Source organism: Homo sapiens, chromosome 5, assembly GCF_000001405.40.
Source record: "Homo sapiens chromosome 5, GRCh38.p14 Primary Assembly".
Lineage (NCBI taxonomy): Eukaryota > Metazoa > Chordata > Mammalia > Primates > Hominidae > Homo > Homo sapiens.
Window position 1 is genome coordinate 156,848,654 of NC_000005.10, and position 11,855 is coordinate 156,860,508.

General features: G+C 36.2%; 1 protein-coding gene across 1 annotated transcript; it reads left to right on the forward strand.

Annotated features, from left to right (window-relative positions):
- The first annotated feature begins 1,641 nt into the window (after positions 1-1,641).
- Positions 1,642-3,875, forward strand: PPP1R2B (PPP1R2 family member B). The gene has a single exon (NM_206858.3). The coding sequence runs from the start codon at positions 1,910-1,912 to the stop codon at positions 2,525-2,527; it is 618 nt and encodes a 205-aa protein (NP_996740.2). The 5' UTR covers positions 1,642-1,909; the 3' UTR covers positions 2,528-3,875.
- Positions 3,876-11,855: the final 7,980 nt, after the last annotated feature.

Here is an 11,855-nt window from a genome sequence, read left to right on the forward strand (position 1 = left end):
TAAATAAAAGAAAAGGAAAAGAAAAACAAAATACAGCATCACCTTTGGGAGGCTGAGGTGGGTGGATTGCCTGAGGTCAGGAGTTCGAGGCCAGCCTGGGCAACATGGCAAAACCCAATCTCTACTAAAAATACAAAAAATTAGCCAGGTGTGGTGATGCATGCCTATAGTCCCAGTTACTCAGGAGGCTAAGCCACAGGAATCTCTTGAACCCAGGAGGCGGAGGTTGTGGTGAGCCAAGATTGCACCAGTACACTCCACCCTGGGTTACAGAGTGAGACTCTGTCTCCACCAAAAACAAAACAAAACACAACAACAACAATAACAAAAATATGGAGTCAAGAGAAAAAGGAAAAAAGAATGAAAGGAACAAAAATATAGAGAAAAATTGCCTAAAAAGACAAAAATCAAGAATTATGGATGTTCAAGTGGGAACTGAGCAAAAACAAGGGGTAGAAAACTTATTCAAAGAAATAATAAGAGAAAACTCTCCAAAACATGAGAAAGAAAAATACCTAGGTACAGGAAGGTCAGAGAACACCAAACAGATTCAACCCAAATAAGAGTACTTTAAAGGATATAATAATCAAATTCTCAAGTCAAGGACAAAGAGATACTCCTAAAAGCAACAAGAGAAAAGCAGCAAATGACATATAAAGAAGCTCCAATTCATCTGGCAACAAACTTCTCAACAGAAACCACACAGGCCAGAAGGGAGTAGGATGACATTTTGAAAGTGCTGAAAGAAAGTAACTGCCATCAAAGACTACTGTATCCAGCAAAGCTATCATTCAAACAGGAGGGATAAAGTCTTTCTCAGACGAACAAAAGCAGAGAGAATTCAACACCAAACCCATCCTATAAAAAATGCTAAACGGAATTCTTTTTTTTTTTTCTTTTGAGACAGAGACTCAGTCTGTCACCCAGGTTGGAGTGCAATGGCATGATCTCAGCTCACTGCAACCTCCACCTTCCAGGTTCAAGTAATTCTCCTGCCTCAGCCTCCCAAGTAGCTGAGATTACAGACACGCACCACCATGCCTAGCTAATTTTTGTATTTTAATAGAGACGAGGTTTCACCATGTTGGCCAGGCTGGTCTCAAACTCTTGACCTCAAGTGATCTGACCACCTCAGCCTCCCAAAGTGCTGGGATTACAGGTATGAGCCACCGTGCCACATCGGGAATTCTTCGATAAGAAAAACCACCATCACCACCGCCACCACCATGCAAAAAGAAAACATTTGAGGTATAAAACCCACTGTAAGTACACAGAAAAATCCAGAATGCCCTAATACTTGTAAAGGTGGTGTGAAACCCACTTATAACTCTAGTATAAAGCCTAAAAGACAAATCAAAAACTTTAATAGCTACAGTAATCGTCAAGAGTTAGGCAATATAAAAATATATTAATTGAGACAATATAAAGTCAAAATGTGGTGGGGGGATAAAGTTTGTTTCTATTGTGTTTTCGTGCTCTGTAAGTTTTCATCTCTTTACAACTTGTTACATCTATAAAGATGTTTTTTTTTGTAAGCCTCATGGTGTCCACAGTACAAAAGAACTATGAAAAAGGGCGTCGGATTTGCTCCACCCCCCCCACCCCCACCACACCCACCACCCCCCACCCACCACTCCCCGCGGAGCTCTAGGCCGGCATCTCTCCGCGAGCCGCGGGTCAAGTGCCGGCGGCTAATGGTGCGCGAGGAGCCGCCACCCATTCGGCGTTGGCTCTGGCGTCGGGGTCGTTGTGACAACCGCTCCAGTAGCCGTTTCCGAGGCAGCAGGTGCGGCCGCTTTAGCCCTGAGCGGGCTCTGCGGCTGCCTGCGAGTCTCTGCTGTGCCGACCCTTCTCTTCGCGGACCCCACGCCAAGCAGCGACCCTGAGGCGACAGCCGGAGCGCCCGGCAATGGCGGCCTCGACGGCCTCCCACCGGCCCATCAAGGGGATCTTGAAGAACAAGACCTCTACGACTTCCTCTATGGTGGCGTCGGCCGAACAGCCCCGCAGGAGTGTCGACGAGGAGCTGAGCAAAAAATCCCAGAAGTGGGATGAAATTAACATCTTGGCGACCTATCATCCAGCAGACAAAGGCTATGGTTTAATGAAAATAGATGAACCAAGCCCTCCTTACCATAGTATGATGGGTGATGATGAAGATGCGTGTAGGGACACCGAGACCACTGAAGCCATGGCGCCAGACATCCTAGCCAAGAAATTAGCTGCTGCTGAAGGCTTGGAGCCAAAGTACCGGATTCAGGAACAAGAAAGCAGTGGAGAGGAGGATAGTGACCTCTCACCTGAAGAACGAGAAAAAAAGCGACAATTTGAAATGAGAAGGAAGCTTCACTACAATGAAGGACTCAATATCAAACTAGCCAGACAATTAATTTCAAAAGACCTACATGATGATGATGAAGATGAAGAAATGTTAGAGACTGCAGATGGAGAAAGCATGAATACGGAAGAATCAAATCAAGGATCTACTCCAAGTGACCAACAGCAAAACAAATTACGAAGTTCATAGAAGAGATTTGTTCAACACTGCAATTGTTTGTTAGATATAAACCCTGTGACTATAATACATTGCTTCTTGTTCTCCACAATTCATGACTTAAGTACCAAAATGCATACCAGTTATTATATATTGCCAAGAATTAAATGATAAACTTAGAGACTAATTAGACTGAAAATGCCTAATTGATATATATATTCTTATGCCTAGTACTTTACCACAAATACAGTGTAATATCATCAGTCCAAAACTGCATTACTTTCATAAGAACACTGGTTAATTTGTATAAGATATTATAGAGCTTTTTATGCTTTAGAAGTTAAGCAATATCTTTGGGGGGGAACTAATTTATTTTCATCACTCGAAATGTGGTAGCTCTTACAAAGTTTGTTGATTTGTTTTTTTAAAAATCAAAAGCCAGTTGAACAACAGGATATATAGACTTATAAATATTCAAGCTGAATCGTATTTTAACACTTCTCTTCAACTTGATTTGTCTGTTTAATTGAAAAGAATTGTAAGAGTTACTGTTGCATTTTCTGACCTACTACCTTTAAAATTCCTGTTGAGTTTCTTTGTGTTTACAAGGAAAGGACTGAACTTTTTCTCATCAAAACTAGCTTTTTTCCCCACAAATAAATTATCAGGTTAAACTTTCACCAATGTCTGCTCTGTTTTTTGGCAGGGGGTTTGTTTGTTTTTGTTTTTTAATGTTTTTGGTACACTGGGCAGACTTCAGAGCAGTTTTTTAAAAAATAAATATTCTAATGTAGCTATCTCGCCATTCCCTTTAAATACCTGTCTTAACCTCCTGCTTTTATTTCCTACTCCTTTCCACACATACACACACAATCTTTTACCTTTTAAAGGATCATTAAGATTGTCACGACATTAGGAACTCTTTCTGTCACTCTTCTGTCATTTGCTGCTGTGTGGAAATTCTTATTTTGACCATCAATGCCTATGAATTCTTCTAATACATGAAGAAAATAGATTGAGTAGCAGCAGTACTATAGGCAGGAAATACAGTTTAACTGCTGAATTTCTATGCCTCTCGATTTACAGATTGCTAATTAAATTGCTATTATTAGTTTGGCTTAATTAGACTTAAGAAAACAACCGAGGGTTTTTTTTTGTTTTTTGAGGGTTTTCTTTGCATGAGAATTGTATGTAACCAGTGATATGATTATTCCTGAATGTACAGACAGAAGTAAGCCTGGACATTTTTTAATTTAAAAACTTTAAATAGTCCCTGCTTTAAGGGAATATGATAATGTATACTATGACAAATGTACTTTATTCCTCTAACGCAGTAAGAATTATGTGGAATATTTTCCTTAAACGAAGTGCAGGAAAGCCCTGTGTGTCTTGGTTTGGTTATGGTTTCATTTCTAGCCATACAATTGATGAATCGTATACAATTTTCGTTAGTACCAAAATAATCTGTTATATGAACAGACTTCTAAAATAATGTCTGTATAATATATATTTATATATATAAAATAAGGCTTTTATTGAACAGCTTATCTTCCACTTGCAGGTTTATAGAAATATCAGTATTTCAAAATAAATAAAAAGTGGGAGAATTCTTTGCTGTTAGAAGAATGTGGTTATTATTTTGATTTTTTTAAATGAGATATATAATCAAAGTACTGCTGAACTATAAGTGCAGTATTCTAAACATTTCATCTAGTAATACCACTGATTTAGAAACAAAACTGTTTATCTCTGGTTTCTGAATTTAGAATTTTGGGATTACCTGTTTAAATCTGTCTTGGGGGATGTAGAGATTAAGTCTGTACATATGTGTGCACATATATTCATGCAACCTCTGATTTTGGTTTTCTTGTTTCTGAGTTCTTAGAAAGTGTCCACATACTCTTTTTTGTAGAAGTAGCTGTTGTAGAGTGAAGAAAAGGATAAGACTTTAAACAGTTGATTCTTTTTGTGTTTTCTACAAACTATTTTTTGAAATTTAAATCACAAGCAAACTCATTTTCTGGTTTTTAGAAAGTAGATGATTTCAGAGGAGTAAGGCATGCCAAGCAGCATGCTCAGTGGGGTTTTAGGCTGTCACATGCAGCTGAGAAAAGGTATGTTCAAGTCATAAGTCGCTAATTGATAGGGTATGAACTAGTCAAAATATGAACCATTATGATTCAAGTTAGATTTTCCTCTGGAGAGACAGATCTGAATGTTCAGTTCTAGCCAAGGTAGATTTTACTTTCAACTTTTTAATCAGTATCACTTTCTGTGCTTAACTCTCTGGTGTTACCTTGTCCGTTTTCATTGGTCTAAAATTCTGAAGAGATGACTAAAATTTGACATAATGGTATAAATGGATTATTAAGGGTAACTTTCAGTTGAAGAGAAAAGCAAGATGCCATTTTCCCCATGACTTTGATTTTGTTTACATTTTTCCCTTTAAGTTAGTATACACTACGCATACGGTAATAAAATACAATAATATAAAAAAAAGAACTATGAAAGATACACTAAAAATAAAAAGTAACAAATTAAAACATACTACCAGAGAAAATCGCTTAACCACAAAGACAGTAAGAAAGGAAGAAAGGAGTTACAAAACAACCAGAAAACAAGCAACAGAATGTTTGCTTGTAGTACATCCTTACTTAATAACACTAAATGTAAATGAACTCAATTCTCCAATTAAAAGACATGGAGTAGCTGAATGGATAATGAAACAAAACCCAACTACATGCTGCCTACAAGAAACCCACCTCAACTATATAGAAACACATAGACTGAAAGTAAAAGAATGGAAAAAGGTACTCCGTGCCTGCAGAAACCAAAAAAGAATAGGAGTAGCTATGCTTATACAGAATGGATGACAAGTCAAAGTCTGTAAAGAGAGACCACAGAAGGTCACAATATAATGATAAAGGGGTCAATTCAGCAAGAAGATATAATATAAATATTTATGCACCCAACACCAGAGCTTCCAAGTATATGAAGAAAACATTAATAGATCTAAAGGGAGACATAGACTGCAGTACAATAGTAGTAAGGGATTTCAATACCCACCTCTCAGTAATTGACAGATCATTCAGACAGAAAATCACAAAGAAACATTGAACTTGAACTACACATTAGACCAAACAGGTCTAACTGACATTTACAGAATATCACCCAACTGCTACAGGATACACATTATTTTCATCAGCACATGGAACATTCACTAGAATAGACAGTACCTTAGGCCACAGAACAAATATTAAAAAATTCAAAAGTAGAAATCATATTAACTATCTTTTCTGACCACAAAGAGTAAAATTAGAAATCAATAATAAGACGAATTTTGGAAACTACATGAACATTGAAATTTAAAATGTGCTTCTAAACAACCAACAGGTCAATTAAAGGTTAACAAAGAAATTTTAAAATTCTTGAAATAAATGAAAATGGAAATACAACATATCAAAATCTATAGATACAGCAAAAATGGTGCTAAGAGGAAAGCTTATAGCAATAATCTCCTACCTCAAAAAAGTAGGAAGACTTTTAAAATACAACCTAACAATGTGACTGTAGGAACTAAAAAACAAGAACAAACCAAACCCAAAATTAGACAGAAATAATAAAGATTAGAGCAGAAATACATAAAATCAAGACAAAAAATACAGATCAACTTTAAAATGAAAAGATGTTTTTTTGAAAAGATAAACAGAAATTGAGAAACCTTCAACTAGATTAAGAAAAATGGAAGACCAAAATAAATAAAATCAGAAACAAAAAAGGAGAGATAATAACTGAAATCACAGAAATACAAAGAACCATTAGAGACTATTATGAACAACTATATGCCAGCAAATTGGAAAAACCTAGAACAAATCTACATTCTTGGGCAGATATGACCTACCAAGATTAAACCATGAAAAAATAGAAAACTTCAACAAATAAACAAGTAATGAGATTGAAGCTATAATAAAACGTTTCTCATTAAACAAATTCCCCTGACTGAATGGCTTCATTAATGAATTCAACCAAACATTTAAAGATGAAACAATACCAATTCTATTCAAACTCCTCAAAAAATTAAAGAGGAGGGAATATTTCCAAACTTTTGAGGTCAGCATTACCCTGACACCAAACCAGACGAGGATACAACAACGAAAACTACTGGCCAATATCACTGATGAACATATATGCAAAAATCCTCAACAAAATATAAGCAAACTGAATTCAACAACACATTAAAAAGGTTACCAACACATTAAAAAGGTTACTTACCATAATCATGAAGGATTTATCCCAGGAATGCAAGGATGGTTCAACATACACAAATGACTCAGGGTGATACATTTCATTAACAGAATCAAGAACAAAAACCACAAGATTATTTTAATGATGCTGAAATAGTCTTTGATAAAATTCAGCATCCCTTTCTCATAAAAAATACTTGGGTACAGGAGGAACATGTCTAAAAATAATAAAAGCCACTTTGTCAAATCCACAGCTAACATCATACTGAACGGGGAAAAAATGAAAGCCTTTCCTCTAAGATTTGGAACAAGACAAGGATGCCCATTTTCACCACTTTTTATTCAACATAGTGTTTAAAGTCCTGGCCAGAGTAGTTAGGAAAAGGAAGGAAATAAAGGACATTCGAACTGAAAAGGAAGAAATCAAATTAGCTTTTTTGCAGATGACATGGCCTTGTATTTAAGAAAAACCTAAAGACTCTACAAAAAAAAAAAAAAAAAAGCCTTAAAACTGATAAATGAATTGTAGGTTACAAAATTAACATACAAAAATCAGTAGCGTTTATATACACCAACAGTGAACAATCTGAAAAAGAAATCAAGAAAGCAACCCCATTTACAATAACTACAAAGAATATAAACTAGGAATAATTTAACCAAAGAAGTGAAAGATTTATATAGTTCAATATTAATGAATAAACAGTATGATTAAATAAAGTTTATTTCAAACAGAAACACACATAAAACAGGTCATATGTTAACTGGTTGATAAAATATTGTGACCAGACGCTTACAAAAATCTAATCCTATATTTTCTCCTGGGAGCAGTGGTTTGGTACTCTCTAATTCAGGGTCTGTGGTGACTTCATAAAATGTACCTACTGGAAATAATAAACATCAATTATATATATACATATGTGTATATAATAGATATATACATGTACATAATTGTCTATGTGTAAATTTAATGATTACTAATAGAGGTTAGTGCCATTTCTTTAATTTGTTCTAAGGCACCAGCAGTTTATTCATCGTTGCCTTTGTACCATCAGTACAAATGTCAAACACTATAGAAAATAACATCTTACTATCACTATTAAAATACTAAAGATGTCCCTCTCAGGGGTTAAAAATGTTTTCATTACCAAACAGACTACTTTAAAGTACGAAGTTAGTCTGGGTGAGGTGGCTTACACCTATAATCCTAGCACTTTGGGAGGTCAAGGTGGGTGGATGATTTGAGGTCAGGAGTTTGAGACCAGCCTGGACAACATGGTGAAACCCCATCTCTGGAAAAATACAAAAATTAGCTGCTGTGGCAGTGCATGCCTGTAATCCCAGTTACTTGGGAGGCTGAGGCACAAGAATCCCTGAACCCAGGAGGCAGATGTTGCAGTAAGCTGAGGTTGCGCCACTGCACTCCAGGCTGGGCAACAGAGCGAGACTCAGTCTCCAAATAAAAGAAAATAAAAGTCCTAATTTTTTGCCTTCAAGTATGTCAGTATTTCACCAGTGCTATCTGTATAAGTTTTATTGGTTTTACTTTTTATGCATTGAGGTAGTGTTTCCAAATGCTTTTGAATTTAAATTCTTAAATTTAAGTTATAATTTAAGCCTTATAATAAGCCTTGACAACAAATATGTAAATAGAAACAAAATTCATGCCTTGTTCTGTTCTTCTTCCCTTTTCTTTTTTTCCCTTTAGTTTTTTTTTTTTTTTTTTTTTTTTTTTTTTTTTTTTTTTTTTTTTTTTTTTGTGAATGCTGGGTTTCACTCTATCACCCAGGTTAAAGTGCTGGAGTGCAGTGGTATGATCACGGCTCGCTGCAGTCTCGACCTTCTGTGTTCAGACAATCCTCCCACCTCAGCCTACTGAGTAGCTGGGACTACAGGCATACAATGCTATGCCTGGCTAATTTTTTTTCTTTTTTTTTTTGTAAAGATGGGGTTTCACCATGTTGCCCAGGCTAGTCTTGAGCTCCTGTGCTCAAGTGATCCACCCTCCTTGGCCTCCCAAAGTGCTGGGATTACAGGTGTGAACCACCACCATGGCAGGACTGAATGCTTTCATTTTGTTTTGCCGATTTCCTTAATGTAATTAACTGTTCCTACGTTACCTCTAAGTTACTTCCACTGAGATACAAATGAAATATATTTTGTCCACTTACACATTTTAAAGTAGAAGATAATATTCAGCACATGACTTGAAGTTATAAATAAAATAGAAAAACTTGTTTGAGGTGATGGGAAAATAAAATTACTAAAGGGAAATTTTTTTTAATTTTAAAATTGGAGCTATTATTGCCTATAGGAGGGAAAAGAAAAATAGATCACTTATATTGCCTTCATGTCTAAAATATAGTTTGATAAAAAAGAATTATGATTTAAAAAAACACTATAGGTTTTATGGGTGGATAGAAAGGAGATAAATTTGAAATAAGCATTAAAAGATTAAGAAATTAATAAGAACTATTATTATTAGCAGACACATATTTAGAAGGTGATTTGTACAGGAAACTCTCTTTCAATGCATCCTATCATGCCAGTTTGATAGAGTCTCTTCTCTCATCTACTTTTTCCATGTACTAGCCATGCGGCAAGGTTATTAAAGATGAGATTTAAATCTTTGATGAGATGAGGCTGCAAAGAAACCAAACTGAGTGGGTAAAGTTCCTCCAGGGGCTTACGAGGTGCTTTTTAAGACTGACTAGTCTAGACTGTGGAAAAGGTACTAATGACCTTAAAGGGAATGGATATTCTGTGATTATCCTGTAGAAATACTGATTAGAGAGCAGGAAATAAGGAAATGTCCTCTTTTCTCTCTTGTACGTAAGCAGAGAAAAAGAACGGAATGGTGGGGTATATCATTTTGGCCTTGACCCTGAAGCACAAAGGTTTAGAATTTTTGATCATGGGAAACAAACTGGTCTTGCACAGATAGGGTTGAGCAAATTACATTACAATTAGGCTTTAATCTGGAATTCAAGAAATGATTCAGGAAAGTCAAGTCTCTCATTTGTTACAAAAACATTCTTCCCCTCACTTAGTTTGCTATTCTACACCTTTGCAGGGCTTGTCCCACGGATGTTTCCCTTTGCTATCTTGGCTTTGTTCTTCCTCCACTGGTTTTGCTAACTAAAGACAGGACCAGTTTAGCCCAGTATAACTAGAACCCTGTGTGTAATGGTAACTTTATCTCTCCAACTTTGAAACTAGTTAACAGCCCTTATCAGCAAATAAAAGGCTTCTACAGCAGACAAGTGACTGAGAACCCCATAAAAAGCTAAAATAAAAAAAAAAAGCTGCACAAAGCTAAAACAAATTTCAGCTTTATGTCTCCCTTGATTTCTGCAATAAGTATAAAAACCTAACATGTGTATTGGCCTTTTTATTATAAGTCATTACTATTGTGCTGTTTTCATATCACCTAGTACCTTCTTAGTTGGGACCTTCCAGTAAAACAAACATTCAAACTGGGGCACTTTTAAAAATAAAGAGGCACAACTCTATTCAGATTCTACAGTTGTAAAGTTGTAAGTTTTCCAGAACTCACTTGGAATTATAGCACACACATAAACAATGAGAATTCTAAAAGCCATACTTCAGTTTTATAAAATATTTGTCTAAATTTTATTCAATAAAATAGACATTTTTAAATTAAGAAAGCTGTCATGTAGACAGCTCTTTCAGTTAAAAATAAGTGCAACTAATAAAATAAGCACAAACACTCATTCCTATCATGTGATTCTGTATTAAACTGCATTCCTGTATCTAGAAGCAATAAGAAGACTGAAGTAATTAGAATAATTTAATTCTGAAAAAGACCATTTTTGTTCATGATTTTTAACCACCAAATATTTTTAAATTCATTAGATGGAAAAAAGATTTTTCACTTATTTTATATAACCTCAAAGGTCAGAATTTAGGTACTTTAAAAAAAAAAAAAAAAGCCAGGTGCAGTGGCAGCTCACGCCTGTAATCCCAGCACTTTAGGACACCAAGGCAGGTGAATCACTTGAGGACTTGAGGTCATGAGTTCGAGACCAGCCTAGCCAACATGGTGACATCCCATCTCTACTAAAAATACAAAAAATTAGCCAGGCATGGTGGTGGGTGCCTGTAGTCCCAGCTACTCAGGAGGCTGAGGCAGGAGAATCACTTGAACCCAGGAGGCGGAGGTTGCAGTGAGTCAAGATCGATCATACCACTTCACTCCAGCCTGGGCAACAGAGCAAAACTCCACCTCAAAAAAAAACAAAAAAGCTTCCGGGAGAATATTTTCAGTGAGAACATTATTACTAAGAAAATATCAAATTTTGAAGTGGGTTCTAATAGGAGTAAGTGAGTTCTCTGTTACTAGGGGTATTGAAACCAAAACCCATTTGGATACTTCAGTGGTCCCTCAACCATAGGCTGTTAAAATAGATAAGTAATTTCAAGCTTACTTTATGTATCTTAGCAGTAGAAGCTTTATTGAAATGAAATATTGATGTCTAGATTCCATAAAAATGATGGCAACTACAGAAACCAGAATCTTTCTTCCTATTCTGCGAAAACCATTCCAATAAATACAGCACAAATAAAATCCCATCTTTTTTCAACTAGGAAAAGAGATAGTAATTCAAACTTCAAGTTATGTGCATGAGGAGAAGTAAACATTCTGAAACCAGTAGTGCCTTTTCAGAGCCCATGTCAGGGCAGACTCATGCACAGACTGAGTGGAAAGCAGATGGGACAATAGGATACTAACAATGGGGAAACACACATAGAACTGCCTCTGGAGAAAAGCTCCCACCTTGAGTGGCAAAGTTCCTAAAATAAGCCTTAGATCTTGGGTATCCCAGCACTGGGTCCTAGAAATAGAAATGAAGGGGTCTGAAATTGCTTAGGATCACAGGTGGTAGATTTGGAAGCCAATGCATGAATGTGAAAGTGTGTGTTTGTGTGTGTGTGTGTGTGTGTGAAAGAGAGAGAGACAGAGAGAGAGAGAGAGAGAGTGTGTGTGTGTGTGTGTGTGTGTCTGTGTTGGGAAAGGTGACTTCATGGTTAAGTCTGAAAAAAAACAAACCAGAAAAATGAAATAGAGGTAAAATGAATCATAGAGAAAGGGATAGGCA

Excerpts from the sequence above, each read along its gene's own strand:
- PPP1R2B (NM_206858.3), top strand. The coding sequence starts at position 1,910 with ATGGCGGCCTCGACGGCCTCCCACCGGCCCATCAAGGGGATCTTGAAG.